At 48.8% G+C, this 15623-nt stretch overlaps 1 protein-coding gene across 1 annotated transcript, besides 7 other annotated features; it reads right to left on the minus strand.

Moving 5' to 3' along the window:
• Positions 7038-7538: an enhancer, noted in NCBI's record as "H3K4me1 hESC enhancer chr17:73769871-73770371 (GRCh37/hg19 assembly coordinates)". NCBI's record gives its function as "activates a minimal SCP1, AML or CMV promoter by ChIP-STARR-seq in primed H9 embryonic stem cells {active_cell/tissue: H9 hESC(primed)}" and the evidence as "EXISTENCE:reporter gene assay evidence [ECO:0000049][PMID:30033119]".
• Positions 8227-8276: a silencer, noted in NCBI's record as "silent region_8981". NCBI's record gives its function as "represses an Ori minimal core promoter by ATAC-STARR-seq in GM12878 lymphoblastoid cells {active_cell/tissue: GM12878}" and the evidence as "EXISTENCE:reporter gene assay evidence [ECO:0000049][PMID:35858748]".
• Positions 8377-8436: a silencer, noted in NCBI's record as "silent region_8982". NCBI's record gives its function as "represses an Ori minimal core promoter by ATAC-STARR-seq in GM12878 lymphoblastoid cells {active_cell/tissue: GM12878}" and the evidence as "EXISTENCE:reporter gene assay evidence [ECO:0000049][PMID:35858748]".
• Positions 9367-9416: a silencer, noted in NCBI's record as "silent region_8983". NCBI's record gives its function as "represses an Ori minimal core promoter by ATAC-STARR-seq in GM12878 lymphoblastoid cells {active_cell/tissue: GM12878}" and the evidence as "EXISTENCE:reporter gene assay evidence [ECO:0000049][PMID:35858748]".
• On the minus strand, positions 9682-13027 carry H3-3B (H3.3 histone B). Its single transcript, NM_005324.5, has 4 exons — positions 12905-13027; positions 12295-12432; positions 12058-12211; positions 9682-11971 (listed from the first exon to the last, which is right to left on the minus strand). The coding sequence occupies exons 2-4, from the start codon at positions 12420-12422 to the stop codon at positions 11843-11845; spliced, it is 411 nt and encodes a 136-aa protein (NP_005315.1). The 5' UTR covers positions 12423-12432; positions 12905-13027; the 3' UTR covers positions 9682-11842.
• Positions 9747-9836: an enhancer, noted in NCBI's record as "active region_12776". NCBI's record gives its function as "activates an Ori minimal core promoter by ATAC-STARR-seq in GM12878 lymphoblastoid cells {active_cell/tissue: GM12878}" and the evidence as "EXISTENCE:reporter gene assay evidence [ECO:0000049][PMID:35858748]".
• Positions 12115-12719: an enhancer, noted in NCBI's record as "NANOG-H3K27ac-H3K4me1 hESC enhancer chr17:73774948-73775552 (GRCh37/hg19 assembly coordinates)". NCBI's record gives its function as "activates a minimal SCP1, AML or CMV promoter by ChIP-STARR-seq in naive and primed H9 embryonic stem cells {active_cell/tissue: H9 hESC(naive and primed)}" and the evidence as "EXISTENCE:reporter gene assay evidence [ECO:0000049][PMID:30033119]".
• Positions 12348-12617: a silencer, noted in NCBI's record as "silent region_8984". NCBI's record gives its function as "represses an Ori minimal core promoter by ATAC-STARR-seq in GM12878 lymphoblastoid cells {active_cell/tissue: GM12878}" and the evidence as "EXISTENCE:reporter gene assay evidence [ECO:0000049][PMID:35858748]".
• Positions 13028-15623: the final 2596 nt, after the last annotated feature.

A 15623-nucleotide genomic window follows, 5' to 3' on the forward strand; every position in this document is an offset into this window, starting at 1 on the left:
ATCCACCCACCTTGGCCTCCCAAAGTGCTGGGATTACAGGCGTTAGCCACCACACCTAGTCATGTTTTTTTATTTTTATTTATTTACGTATTTATTTATTTTAGACAGATCTTGCTCTGTTACCCAGGCTGGAGTGCAGTGGCGCGATCTTGGCTCACTGCAACCTCCGCCTCCCAGGTTCAAGCGATTCTCCTGCCTCAGCCTCCCCAGTAACTGGGATTACAGGCACCCTCCACCATGCCTGGATAATTTTTGTAAAAGCAGGGTTTCACCATGTTGGCCAGGCTGCTCTTGAACTCCTGACCTCAAGTGATTTGCCTGCCTCAGCCTCCCAAAGTGCTGGGATACAGGTGTGAGCCAATGCGGCCAGGCAATGGTTTTTTAGATATGACATCAAAAGCACAAGTGACAACAGAAAAATAAACTGTACTTCATCAAAGTGAAATATTTTTCTGCAACAAAGAACTGTCACGCGTGTCCGTGTGAACAGACCACCAAACAGGCTTTGTGTGAGCAACAAGGCTGTTTATTTCACCTGGGTGCAGGCGGGCTGAGTCTGAAAAGAGTAAGCAAAGGGTGGTGGGATTATCATTAGTTCTTATAGGTTTTGGGATAGGTGGTGGAGTTAGGAGCAATGTTTTGCGGGCAGGGATGGATCTCACAAAGTACATTCTCAAGGGTGGGGAGAATTACAAAGAACCTTCTTAAGGGTGGGGGAGATTACAAAGTACATTGATCAGTTAGGTTGGGGCAGGAACAAATCACAGTGGTGGAATGTCATCAGTTAAGGCTATTTTCACTTCTTTTGTGGATATTCAGTTGCTTCAGGCCATCTGGATGTATACGTGCAGGTCACGGGGGCTATGATGGCTTAGCTTGGGCTCAGAGGCCTGACAAGAACATTGTCAAGAAAGTGAAAAGACAACTCACAGAATGGAAGAAAGTACTTGCAAATCATGTATATCTCAGGGGCTTGGAGTTTGAGACCAACTTGGGCAACGTGGGAAGACCTCACTGCTACAAAAAAAAAAAAAAAAATTAGCCAGGTTGGGTGGCACACACCTGTGGTCCCAGCTACTCAGAAGGTGAGAGACCCTGTGTCAAAGAAGAAAAAAAAAAAGCAAAAGATTTCAAGAGACATTTTTCCAAATAATATAAATACAAATGGCCAATAAGCACATGAAAAGATGCTCAAATGTCAGATGTGGTGGTTCATGCCTGTGATCCCAGACTTTGGGAGACCGAGGTAGGCGGATCACTTGAGAGCAGGAGTTCAAGACCAGACCAGCCTGGCCAACATGGTGAAACCCCATCTCTACTGAAAACACAAAAATTAGCCAGGCATGGTGGCGCACATGTGTAATGCCAGCTTACTCGGGAGGCTGAGACACAAGAATCACTTGAACCCGGGGGGTGGAGTTTGCAGTGAACCGAGATCTCGTCACTGCACTCCAGCCTAGGTGACATAGTGAGACTTGGTCTCGGGAAAAAAAAACAAGTGATGTATCTATACAATAGAAATATTAATCCATAAAAAGAAATGAAGTACTGATACGTGTAACAACATGGATGGAGCCTTCAAGAAAAAAATTAGCTGGGCGTGGTGGCGGGCACCTGTAGTCCCAGCTACTCGGGAGGCTGAGGCAGGAGAATGGCGTGAACCTGGGAGGCGGAGCTTGCAGTGAGCAGAGATCGTGCCACTGCACTCCAGCCCAGGTGACAGCGCAAAACTCCGTCTCAAAAAAAAAAAAAAAAGAATGAACTTTGAAAATATTATGGTGAGTGAAGGAAGCCAGTCACACAAGACCACCTGTTGTATATCCAGAATCGGCAAATCTCTACAGATGGAAAGTTAATTAGCGGTTGCTTAGGCCTGAGGGAATAGCAGGGTCAGAGCCAAAGGATGGCAGGTTTCTCTGTGGTAAGGAAAATGTTCTAAAATGGACTGTGGTGATGGTTGCACATGCCTGTGAATATCCTAAACTGTTGAATTTTATGTTTTAAATGGGTGAATTATATGGTATGTATTATATCTCAATAAAGCTGTTAAGAAAAGAATGGGGCCCAGGTGTGGTGGCTCACGCCTGTAATCCCAACACTGGGAGGCTGAGGTGGGCAAATCGCTTGAGACCAGGAGTTCAAGACCAGCCTGGGCAACAAAGGGAGACCTCATCTCTCCAAAAAAATCAAAAATTAGCCGGGCACGGTGGCTCATGCATGTAATCCCAGCACTTTGGGAGGCCGAGGCGGGTGGATCACTTGAGGTCAGGAGTTCAAGACCAGCCCGGCCAACATAGTGAAACCCCATCTTTACTAAAAAATAGAAAAATTAGCCCGGTGTGGTGGTACAAGCCTGTAATCCCAGCTACTCAGGAGACTGAGGCAGGAGAATCGCTTGAACCCAGGGGGCGGAGGTTGCGGTGAGCCGAGATCACACCACTGCATTCCAGCCTGGACAACAGACTGAGACTCCGTCTCAAAAAAAAAAAAAAAATCAAAAATTAGTCAGGCTTGGTGGTGTGTGCCTGTGGTCCCGACTACTTGGGAGGCTGAGGCAGGAGGATCACCTGAGCCCAGAGGTTGAAGGTGCAGTGAGCCGAGATCACGCCACTGCACTCCAGCCCAAGCAATTCCAGATGTCATCGGATGACCTGCTCCTTTTGAGCACACTTCAGTAAAGCATTTTTTGGCACAGCCAACACCAAACAAATCATACCATGAGTGGCCCTTGGGCTGGTTGAAATGGAATGAAACTCACAAACCATACCTCCCTACAAGGGCCCATTCTATCAGGGCAGAGGTGAGCGAAGCAGCCCCTTCTCTGCATGCCTTTTACTCACCTCACCTCTGACACCCAACAGTGCTGAGCCCTCATCTCCACTCTTCCTATTATATGATCTCAGGTAAATGAAGTGACCTTTCTGGGCCTCAGTTTCTTATGTGTAAAATGGGGCTAGAGATTGCTCCCAGACATGCTGTTGTAAAAGGAACTGAATGAGATCATCTTCATAAAGTGCCCAGCCCAGCAGCTGGCACTTGGTACGCACAGAATAAATGTTTGCTATTCTTATCAGTTGTCCATTAATTCAACAGGCATTATGGTACTCTCCTATATGCAATTGGCCAGAAAGATAAATGCCTCAGGCTCTCACGGTCTGATTGGGAGGCAGACAGTCACAAATCTGACCCCCTCTGTCTGCGATAAATGTTGAGTAGAGCTTTCTGAATAGGAGAAGAGAGAGCAGGGATTCTGACCAGTTAGAAGTCCACACCCTTATCTTTATTTCCATTGATTCATTTTAATTGACAACGTGACTTTTTTTTTTTTTTTTGAGATGGAGTCTCGCTCTGTCGCCAGGCTGGAGTGTAGTGGCACAATCTCAGCTCACTGCAACCTCTGCCTACCAGGTTCAAGCAATTCTCCTGCTTCAGCCTCCCAAGTAGCTGGGATTACAGGCACGTGCCACTATGCCCAGCTAATTTTTTGAATTTTTAGTAGGGACAGGGTTTCACCGTGTTGGCCAGGCTGGTCTCACACTCCTGACCTCAGGTGATCCGTCTGCCTTGGCCTCCCAAAGTGCTAGGATTATAGGCGTGAGCCACCTCAGCTGGCCAACATGACCATTTGACCCATCTTCATCCTTTGTGTTGTTTTAGTTTTTCTTTTTTTTTCTTTTTTTTTTTTTTTTTGCGAGACAGAGTCTCTCTCAGTCACCCAGGCTGGAGTGCAATGGCGTGATCTCAGCTCACTGCAACCTCCACCTTCTGGGCTTAAGCGAATCTCCTGCCTCAGCCTCCCAAGTAGCTAGGACTACAGGTATGAGCCACCACGCCTGGCTAATTTTTTTTGTATTTTTAGTAGAGATGGGTTTTGCTCTGTTGGCCAGGCAGGTCTCAAACTCCTGACATCAAGTGATCCGCCCACCTCGGCCTCCCAAAGTGCTGGGCTTACAGGCGTGAGTACCACACCCAGCCTGTTTTAGTTTTTCTTGGAGAACCTCGATTTAGGCTGGGCAAGGTGGCTCATGCCTGTAATCCCAGCACTTTCAGAGGCTGAGATGGGCGGATCACCTGAGGTCAGGAATTTGAGACCAGCCTGGTTAACATGGTGAAACCCCATCTCTACTAAAAGTACAAAATTAGCCTGGTGTGGTGGCGCATGCCTGTAATCCCAGCTACTCTGGAGGCTGAGGCAGGAGAATCGCTTGAACCCCAGAGGCAGAGGTTGCAGTGAGCTGAGATTGTGCCGCTGCACTCCAACCTGGGCAACAGGGAGACTCCACCTCAAAATAAATAAATAAATAAAAATACAAAATTAGTCTGGGCGCAGTGGCTCACACTTGTAATGCCAGCACTTTGGGAGGCCAAGGCAGGTGGATCACCTGAGGTCAGGAGTTCGAGACCAGCCTGACCAACATGGTGAAACTCCATCTCTACTAAAAATACAAAAAATAGGCCAGGCATGGTGGCGTGCGCCTGTAATCTCAGCTACTCAGGAGAACGAGGCAGAACAATCACTTGAATCTGGGAGGCAGAGGTTGCAGTGAGCCGAGATGGCACCACTGCACTCCAGCCTGGGCTGCAGAGTGAAACTTCGTCTCAAAAAAGAAAAAAAAGTTGGCATAAGGCGAAGCATGTCCGTTTGTTCAAGATGGACTCTGAAACATTGATTTTATTTGGGAAATGTGTTTACTGTCTTTTTTGAATCCCATCTAGTGTGTTACTGAAATTTGTTCAGAGTGAAGTCTCCTTTGACCTTTGACCCTCCCCCCATTTCCTGGCCAGATGTCTCAGGATTAGCGGGGAGGTGGCATGGTAATGGAAACACTTCACCCTGAGCTTTGTCCTCTGCTATGCTGGCTGAGAAACTTGCTTGTATCTTGCTGATTATCACGTAGGGCTGAGGCGTCTGGAGAGAATTCTGGGTTATATCCACCACTGGGACATACTAGCCAGTGGTGGGAATACCATGCGTGCCAGCCAGGTGTCTGGTGACCTAGACAGGCTTAGAGGTGGGTTTTTTTGTTTTTTGTTTTTTTTTCAGTCAGGGTCTTGCTGTGTCACCCAGGCTGGCGTGCAGTGTCACCATCACAGCCCACTGAAGCCTTCAACTCCTGAGCTGAAGCAATCCTCCCATCTCAGCCTCCCAAGTTGCTGAGATTACATGGGAAAGCCACTGCACCTGGCTCTAACAATGTTTGTCTAGGCCGCGGAAAGATGTGACCTACCACTGAGGACAGGCACTCCAAAATGCCTCTTCTCCACGGGAGTCCGTGTCTGTCTTCTACACAAAAACCAAATCCTTGGGCCCTCCTTGCTCAACTTGGCCTTTGTTTATGTTTCACGGGACGATACACTTGACGCAGCCCTGGCTTCTATGTTGCAGTCACAGCCTGATTCCCTGATGGACTTAGGTCCGTGGCTCCCGGTGTTTTCAGAGACTGACATCTTGCTCCCAGCAGATGGCTCACTACCTTACCCATTCTGGGAGATTCCTTTTATTGTTTCTTCTAGAGGGTTAACCTATTTCCTGATCTGGGCTCCCTTTGCCCTTCTATAATATTCATGATAACAGTGTCTGGAATATTGATAATAATATTGAGCCCATGGTCAGCCCAGACCTCAGGGCTGATATCTCACCAAGATGCACCTGCGGGGCAGCACAGCTTGTTTACTACCAGCGTCTTTTTTTTTTTTTTTTTTTTTGAAATGGAGTCTCACTCTGTTGCCCAGGCTGGAGTGCAGTGGCGTGATCTCGGCTCACTTCAACCTCCGCCTCCCGGGTTCAAGCGATTCTCCTCTCTCAGCCTCCCGAGTAGCTGGGATAACAGGCATGCACCACCACACCTGGCTAATTTTTGTGTTTTTAGTAGAGATGGGGTTTTGCCATGCTGGCCAGCCTGGTCTCAAACTCCTGGCCTCAAGTGATCCACCCGCCTCAGCCTCCCAAAATGTTGGGATTACAGGCATGCGCCACCTCTCCTGGCCCCTGAGCCCATTTTCTCAGCCACTACTGTTTCCTGGACTGCTGCAGCCTCTGCTCTACTGGCCTCTGCTTACGAAAGTGTCAAGAGTTAAAGCTCAGCCTCTTGGTGATGGACAGGAGGGGCAGCTGCTCTCTCAGACTCAGTTCCTATGTGAAACACTCTCGGTTTGGAAGCCAGGCCAGTAACCAAAGCTTTTGGGAACCAGACTGATTCTTTGCCACCCATGCTGGGAGCAGATCCAGCCAGCTGTGCTTGGGGGCTGCTGGGGCCATTTGGTTTGGTCAGCAGTCACTCCTGGAACTTCTGCTATGTGTCAGGTGTGATTCCAGGGGCAGACACACTCATTCCCTGCCTTCGGAGCGCCAGGAGCTTCTCGTCTCCCTGCGGTCTCAGATGCCCCTGCTCAGATAACCCAGCTGCAAGTCTTGTCTTTATTTGCTGCCCCTACTCTGTCCCTGAAGTTCCTGCCCTCTAGGTTGACAACCACCCTGCTGCTGGCCAAGGAGCATGTCCAGACCTACAAGATGCAGCTGACAGCTCAGGGCCGAGGCTGTCTCATCTTGCGCCTCACACTGGCTGGAAAGCTGCTGGCACTGCAGCTGCCCAGGCCTCAGACCGCTGGTGGTGGGCAGATGGATTGAGACTAGCTGCAGGTGCGGAGCTGGGGAGGGAGAGCCCTGTGAGGGCCGTGATGCCTGGGCTGTGGACCCAAGCCCCTCCTGACCCCTCTGCTTGGCCCCCTGGCTCAGTGCCTGGCAGAGAGGAGCTTATGGGGAAAAATGTGGCCAACGTAGGAGGTGGTACGTGAATAGGGATTTAACGGAGCCCAGGTTCCACCTCCATGAGGACAGGCACAATCCCTCACACACCCCTCAGCAAAGGCCACCTGCCCTAAGCCTGCAGCCCATCTCCCTCTCCTTCCCTGGAGCCCTCTTGTCCCTGGTACTGGTGACGTCTGAGATGAACTTCTCCCTTTCTGCCCACCCTCCATCCCACTGTGTGTATCCCCAGAACTGCAGCTTCCTGATGAGAGCTCGCAGCTGCCAGCGAGAAGGCCCCAGACCCTGGCTGCCTCACCACGTCCCTCTCTCTGCACCCTTTTCCAGATCACGCATGGCCTTACCGCCCCTCCAGGAGCTACAGCCCCACTGAAGCCCCCACTTCTTGCTTTTCCAGTGGGGGGTGACTGTAGGGCCTCTTAGCTTTCTCCATGGGGGACGGGTCATGAGGTAGGAGGTGGGCTGGGCTCGAGTGGAGAGACCTCTGCTCGGGAGACGGCTAAGAAGCGCTGCTCCCAGGTGTGCTTGACCTGCAAGATTGGCCCCTGCTGGCCACCGGGCATAGTGCTCAGGTGAAGACACCAGAACATGGTGGGGCGCATCCCAGAGAAATCCTGTGACTCTGCTTGGAGGGAGACAGTGTCTGGTGGGATCACTGATAGCCAGGGATTGCTGGGCCGTCAGCAGGACCACAGGGAGTAGGAGTCCCCAAGGGGAGGATAATATTCTCCAGCCCCTTCTCACACCACAGCCCCTCGCAATAGAGGCCTTGTGCAAACTCCTCTGTGCGTAAACACAGGGCTGTCTCAGCTGCACCCACCTCGGCCTGCAGCCTCCCTCATTCCCCAGACCTGCTGACAAAGGGATCAGGGAGGGAAAAGGCCAGCCACCCGGCCCAAGAAGAGGGCATCCTTAGTCTTCTGAGGGTACTGTAGAATTTGGGTTGGCAACCCAACAGGGGCCTACCCCTTCTCCCCTTCTTCTAGCCTTACCTTGGAGGAGGATGCTGGAAGGCCAGCTTTCATGCAGCAGTTGCTGGTCAGAAGCAGGCCCAGCTTGATAAGAGTGGTCCAGGCTGGTGACATCCTTGTGATCAGGGCATCTCCCTGAGAAATGCCCACAGGGGCAGGCAGGAGCACCATAGGGGTGAGGGAAGGAAGAGGCTGTGAGGGCCCGGGCAAGGTGCAGCCAGCTTAGCCTCAATGGGACTGATCAGTGCCTGGGGTGGGGCTGAGAGAGGTGGACTGCGATTCCTTTGGCAAGATGATTAAAATGCTCCTGCTCCAAGGGATGAGGAGAGAATGTCCAGGATAGGGGCTCAAAGAACTCGTGCCCAGTGGACCACAGCACCCCCTGTAAGACAACTGCAGAAGGGGTGAAAACTACCCACCTGGCACTTCTCTATGGCGGGCTAGACTGGCCATAGGCCTCAGTCTCTGAATCTGAACACAGGCTGGGGCCATCTTGCAGAAACCATAGGGCAAGCCCTTGTTTCCTGCTGATTGAATTGCAGACAGCTGACCGTGTTCCGCAGTGTTCCTCCCTCTACTGACCTACCTGAAGGTGATTCAGGAGAAAGGGATTGCTTTCCCAGGGCTGCAAGACCCCACCCTGACACCTGACACCAGACAGTGCTTGCAAGGAGCCAGGCAGGGGGAGCTGAGCAGCAGACACCACTGTTGGGGAATCATCCAGTGAATCGATGAGTTGGAAACTGTTAATTTCCAGTCCAGGCAGTCAGCTCAGGGCCTCTTCTCCTTCCCTTTGGCTGATGGTCCCTAGGCCAGGACCAGTGGACCAGGTGCTAAAAGTATCCAAGGTCCTGACAGGACTCTGGCTCCCAGAAATTCTGAAACCCAAGCCACTCCACTTGTCCTGAAGCCCTTAGCCTGTGTCCTCAAGAAGGTGGCTGGAAGACCACTTGTTCATGATGAAGTTGCAGGTCAGGAGCTGGGTCCACTCTTAGTGAGGGAACACCCGTTGCCCTTCATTTCTCCCGTCTTCCTCTTCACCCTTCCTTTTCCTTATTCTGCAGTTACACTGTGGACCCCTGGTTCTGGGTAAAACAACCCTGCTTCATCTCAAAACTGACTGCTATGTGGATCAGATGATTGAAGTTTAAGGGACAAATTATGTCCCGTTTTCAGATTGAAGGTGGTATAATTAGAATATTGGTGGGTAAGCAATTTGACCTTATTTTCCTGAGACATGTCCCTATACAAATAAGTCACTGGGTCCCCACCTCACATCACCATGGTATGGGTAGGTAGAACGACCGCATAATTTGCCAAATTGGGACAGAGAACAGTAAACACAGGCACTATTAAATACACTTCAAGCCTGTAATCCTAGCACTTTGGGAGCTCGAGTTTGAGACCAACCTGGGCAACATATGGAGACCCCGTCTCTAAAAAGTAAATACACCAGCTGGGCGCAGTGGCTCACACCTGTAATCCCAGCACTTTGGGAGGCCGAGGTGGGCAGATGACGAGGTCAAGAGATGGAGACCATCCTGGCCAACATGGTGAAACCCCGTCTCTACTAAAAATACAAAAATTAGCTGGGCATGGTGGTGTTTGCCTGTAGTCCCAGCAACTCAGGAGGCTGAGGCAGGAGAATCACTGGAACCTGAGAGGCGGGGGTTGCAGTGAGCCAAGATCGCGCCACTGTACTCCAGCCTGGTGACAGAGCAAGACTCCGTCTCAAAATAAATAAATACACCACTTCAGCAGGCACAGACTGGCACTGTCCTGGGCCAACTGTCACTGAGGTCACCTCAATAGGGAGCTTCCTTATTATTGAATGCGCACGTCCCAGCCCCAGATGAATCAGAAGTCAGTGCTTTTTGGACATTGCCCCAAACTTTTTGAAAGACATTATCATTTGAATGAAAACCATTGAGAAATGAGAAAATCTTAACTTCAAAAATTTTATTTTAGTCTCATCCATCAAGGGCATAGGATACCTGCATCAGCTGCAACTTCTGCTTTTCTCCTTTGCCTCTGCTCCTTTACCCTTACCGAGGGATATCCCATACAGGAAGCCGCCTACAACCAAAAGCTATCTTCGCCTTCTGGGTTGAGTGCTCAAGCCAAGTGTGGAAATGCAAGTCACTGCTTCGGCAGATTGCAAGCTGCCCAATATAATCTAAGAGCCTTCTATGCCAGCCTGCAGACTGGAGAAGGTTCACTAGTGTCACCCACTTGGGTTGTCACAGGTAGTAAGCAGAAGCTAACTCATCACCGTAGCCAGGTTTGTGTACTTTGTTTCCAGACACGCTACAGCATAGCACGTTCCAACATCTGATCTTAATCTCATTCTGAAGCACAGTGAGGAATCAAGTGTGCTTGTTCCAGAGCTGATTATGAACTTTCTAGAAAAGCGGGTCATTATATTGCATCCTTTCATAGGAGCTCATTATCACGACCTGAAAGATACCTACTTTACCTTCCCTCCAAAATATCACATTTGAAACTAACCCAAACTTTTGAGAAAGCAATTTTAATGGGGTATAACTTTAAGCAGTTGCTAACTTCAAACGTGGAACGCTTTGATGACTGCTGGCTCTCATGCTGTCTCACTGACATCCACGTACTATGCTTTAGTGGCCATCATCGCACAAGGAAACTGGTTTCATACTGAAGTTTAAGACTGAGTTCTACACCTGTGGGCTTCTACACTACGGAACGGGAGTGGGGGGGCTGAAAAGCTTATTAATATACTTTGTCTTAGCCCACACTGCAAATACAGCACTATTATGGCATCTTAATCAAGCAGAGAGCTGTTCACATGCTTTCTACAGTATCTTTATAAATAAAAGGTTCCTTTATCCACCAAACAACACCTGAAATGATCTAAGTTCAAAACATTAGTATACAAGGACCTAGATAATGGGACATGTGAAAACTTAGTACATTCAATTTAGGTTTTGGACACTTAGTTGGATAAACAAGTTTATTTGTAAATTTAGTCAACATACATAATTGACCTAAAAACTTCAGTAAATTTTAAAACCACTTGGAAGGCCATCTCTATAAAAATGATTTTCCCAGGACAGTAACCAGATGTAACCTAACCCAACACCATCTTAATTGGCAGAGGTTCAGTGGGCTGGAGTTTTGTGCTCCTCCCCCACACCAAGTTTTTATAATACAAATGCCACAAGAAAAAGAACTTCGGTACTGTTTCCTCAGCAGAGGAGAAAAACTCAACCTAGTTATGAGACCAACCACACAACACAATGAAAAGCTGCACTAACTAGTTCAGAATGTTAGTTAAGATGATGCTGGTGTGAATAACTCGTTTTTTCTAGAGCCCTTATAAATAAAATCCCCCAGTTAGTGTTTGCATTATCAGCTAGAGGGTTAACATGTGGTAGAATGAGGACTTATGCAAGGTATAAATGCGCATAGCATTTTACTACTATGAGAACAAGTGCAGTCAGAAGAAAACCAACTGGACTCTAAATTACACACACCTTAATGACAAGACTCCCCACCACTTGTGAATGTAAAACATTTAATTTAAAAATGTTGATACTACAATATATAAAATAGCTATTATAAATGCACATAGTGTATTCTATAGCTGCCAGGTTTACTTTTTTTTTTTTTAAAGGAAACTGTAAGTTACACTGTGGTTAAGACTTGTATCTTCACCCTTGAAAAAGCCCACATTCTATCACAGTGATGTATGGTCAGACTTAACAGCCCCAATTGTTAAACACTTGGATCAAGTCATAACCAGTTTTATTGCAAAAGGACCCTGTACACATTTATCAACTCTAGTACCTTAATAGCTACCCAACAAGTCATTAACATACAGAAACATGCATCATGAGAAGCAAGAAGTATCACCCATCCCTTCTGCATATTAGCAACTTGTCACTCCTGAGCAACAGTGCTCACATCACTGAGGTCTGTGAACAGTCACTTTTCGCATTCATCCTGAGTGAAAGATGGAATGACTTAAGTACAAATGCAACATATTATAAACAATTTCTTACAAAAAAAGTCACAAATTAAACCAAAGTATTTTACAGAATTTACTACAAAACGCCATAAAAACTGCCTTCACTTAAGCTCTCTCTCCCCGTATCCGGCGAGCCAACTGGATGTCTTTGGGCATGATGGTGACTCTCTTAGCGTGGATGGCACACAGGTTGGTATCTTCGAACAGACCCACCAGGTACGCTTCGCTAGCCTCCTGTTGAGGACGAGAGCCGCACTATTAATCCCACTCGGGGAGCGGAAACCGCCCAGCCCTCCCCCGGCTCCAGGCCTTTGTCTTACCTGCAGCGCACCGATGGCTGCGCTCTGAAACCTCAGGTCGGTTTTGAAATCCTGCGCGATCTCCCTCACCAACCTCTGGAAGGGCAGCTTCCGGATGAGCAGCTCGGTCGACTTCTGATAACGACGAATCTCTCGAAGCGCCACGGTCCCGGGCCTGCAGCGAGCAGGGGAGGAGTGAGCGGACGCTGCCGCACAAAGCCGGCCACCGCCGGGCCATTGTTCCCCCGCCCGACCTACCTGTAGCGATGAGGCTTCTTCACCCCGCCGGTAGAGGGAGCGCTTTTCCTGGCGGCTTTCGTGGCCAGCTGTTTGCGGGGGGCTTTCCCACCGGTGGACTTACGAGCAGTCTGCTTGGTTCGGGCCATTTTCTTTCACCTAAGAAAGACGCCCCGAAGATAAGGCCGCCGCGCTCACCCGGGCCGCCCCCCAGGGCTGCGGGGGGAGGAACAGATCCTGGCCCCACCGCCGGGCCTCCCGCCTCCCCGCGCCCCACCTCGCGGCAGCAGATGGCCGAGGGCCGCCAACCTCCTCCCCCTCCCCTAATGACTCAGGCTGCGAGGAGCGGCAGCCTCCCCCGGGAGGGGGAGCGCGGGGAGGAGTCACTTCCCTTCCTCGACGGGCGGAGGCCCGACTGCCCGGAACCCGGCGTCGGGACCTCTGAATCACCGCCGGGAAAAGGCGGGGACACAGTTCCGGAACAAAGCCCCAAGGGGAAACCTCCCGGCCCCATACCCGACCCGACGCCAGCGGCCCGAGCAGCCCCCGCCGCTCGGCTCCCAACGGCCGCGGCGCGCGGCGCCAACGGTTGGCAGAACCTGAAGCCGCGGGTAAACCTACGAACGCCTACCCAACGCCGAAGTTTTAGGCCACTTCTCCGACCGCCGCGCCGCTTCCGCTGCCCGAGGAAGAGCCGCAGTCGACGAGCGAAAAACCAGCACCGCCCAACGAACGACCAAACCGCTCTGCGCTCCAAGCCCCCGCGTCGCCTCCGTTTTTATAGGCACGCTTCACGCTGCGTCTCTGCGTCATAGAACCCTTATTTGCATACACCAACGACTTTTTCTATTGGTGGGCGCTTTCGCCGACGCGCTGACATCCCCCGACACAAAGGCCGTGCTTCGGCACTGTTCCATGATTGGTGCATATCTACGCCGCTGATTGGCTGTTAAAGTGGCCTAATGATTGGATGGATGCAAAGAGGAATGGACGAATCAGAGTTTAGCACTAAGCGGCCCTTCTGATTGGATAAAATGGAGCTATGTTTGGATCCTTCCCTTGGTTCCAAAGCTCTGCAATAGAAAGTCAATGCAAATGAATTGCATTGGTCTCTATCAGAATGAGCAGGAGTCTAAACTCACAGGCATCAAGCGAATGCTATGCACCCAGAGAGGCTACTTTAACAAAATTTTTGTAAATATTTTCCGATGTAAAATAAAATGTGTTCCCTGGATTATTTACCTTTCATAATATTTTGATAGTTAAGTGCGTAGTGTGAGAATTAGAATTCAGTAAATCATGTTATATTATCAAGTATTTCATATATCATGCACATACATTTTTAACAAAAAGCAGGTCTCTTGGTGGGGTGGGAAGGGGTAAATAATAAATACAAATAAACATGTTAATAAATTATTTTAGAGGAACTGTTTTGTATGTTTTTAAGGTGTCACAAAATATTTTTTGATTTCCATATGCTTAAACAAGAGGTAACTTACTAAGCAACATGTTACTTGAATTATGTACTTCAAGTGAATGAAATGACTACAGCTAGAAAGTAAATAGTCCTACTATAGTATTTGCATGTCCATAAAGAATAAACAAAAGATAACTAAACTAGATATGTGCCCTTTTGTTTAATAGCATATCCTGGCAGGTATTACTTCTGAAGAAACATGACAAATGTGTAAATATGCTAATCCCTACCTTTGCCTAAGTAAATGTCTTGGGTAGATTGTAATAGTCAGTTCTTCAGTTGCCTCAAGTATATAAAATACCATAGCAGGCTTAAGGTTAAGACTAGCCAAGCAAAGCCCAGAAAATTGAAATAGAGCCTTGGGCATTCTACTCTATAGTTCTGATGCTGGTCCAGCAAATATTCTAAACTATTAAAAGAAAAAGTAGCAGATACAGGTATGCATAGGTTTCAACTAAATTAATTTTTTTTTTTGAGACGGAGTCTGACTCTGTCGCCCAGGCTGGTGTGCAGTGGCACGATCTCAGCTCACTGCAAGCTCCGCCTCCTGGGTTCACACCATTCTCCTGACTCAGCCTCCGAGTAGCTGGGACTACAGGCGCCTGCCACCACGCCCGGCTAATTTTTTTGTATTTTTAGTAGAGACGGGGTTTCACCGTGTTAGCCAAGATGGTCTTGATCTCCTGACCTTGTGATCCACCCGCCTTGGCCTCCCAAAGTGCTGGGATTACAGGCATGGGCCACCGCCCCTGGCCGGTAATTTTTTTTTTTTTTGAAGTGGGGTCTTGCCCAGTCACCCATGCTAGAGTGCAGTGGTGCAGTGACCACGGCTCACTGCAGTTTTGACCTCCTGGACTCAAGCAATCCTTCTGCCCCAGCCTCCCAAAGTGCTAGGATTACAGGCATGAGCCACCATGCCTGACCTTCAGAGAATTACAGTACGTAAGTACAAATACCTCAATATTGACTTGTCACACCAGTGGTCAAGTATCAAACAATGAGAAAAAAATGCACACTTTGAAAAACTAGCTCAGCTTCATCTCAATCTCTGGTATCAAATTCCTGTTATTATTTCAGCCTTCTTAATTTTTTTTTTTTTTTTTTTGAGACGGACTCTTGCTCTGCTGCCAGGCTGGAGTGCAGTGGCGCGATCTCAGCTCCATGCAACCTCCACTTCCTGGGTTCAAGCGATTCCCCTGCCTCAGCCTCCCAAGTAGCTGGGATTGTAGGCATGCGCCACCATGCCCGGCTAATTTTTTGTATTTTAGTAGAGACAGGGTTTCCCATGTTGGCCAAGATGGTCTCGATCTCTGGACCTCGTGGTCCGCCTGCCTCTCGCCTCCCAAAGTGCTGGGATTACAGGCGTGAGCCACCGCGCTCAGCCAGCCTTCTTAATCTTAACGTGCACATTATGTATTTAATCATCATATACCTAAATTTACTGTGATAACCAACTTTGATTTCTGCCTTTGACTCAAAATTTGAGGTAGGGAAAAATTACATGATTTTATTAATGCCATGCTGAGAAGAGAAACCTAGGTGGATTCTCATGCTTTATTCTCAAACCTGTGTCAAGTTAAGAAACAGGGGACTGTTTAGACACACATATGAGGCTGTCAAATTCTCTGGGATGCAAACAGAAAAATAACTTGTCATCTTTTTTTTTTTTTTTTTTTTGACTTTGGCCTAGAAGAGGAATAGGCTTTCTAAATTGGTCCCCCACTTTGTGTTCCACGATTTTTTTTTTTTTTTTTTTTTTTGAGATGGAGTCTTGCTCTGTCGCCTAGACTGGAGTGCAGTGGCGCCATCTCGGCTCACTGCAAGCTCCGCCTCCCAGGTTCACACCATTCTCCTGCCTCAGCCTCCTGAGTAG

The sequence above is a fragment of the Homo sapiens genome, chromosome 17 (assembly GCF_000001405.40).
Source record: "Homo sapiens chromosome 17, GRCh38.p14 Primary Assembly".
Lineage (NCBI taxonomy): Eukaryota > Metazoa > Chordata > Mammalia > Primates > Hominidae > Homo > Homo sapiens.

Coding starts and splice junctions, on each gene's coding strand:
- H3-3B (NM_005324.5), bottom strand. CDS start 12,422: ATGGCCCGAACCAAGCAGACTGCTCGTAAGTCCACCGGTGGGAAAGCC. Junction 12,212..12,294: donor AAGAAGCCTCATCGCTACAG/GTAGGTCGGGCG, acceptor TGCTCGCTGCAG/GCCCGGGACCGTGGCGCTTC. Junction 11,972..12,057: donor CAGCCATCGGTGCGCTGCAG/GTAAGACAAAGG, acceptor CGTCCTCAACAG/GAGGCTAGCGAAGCGTACCT.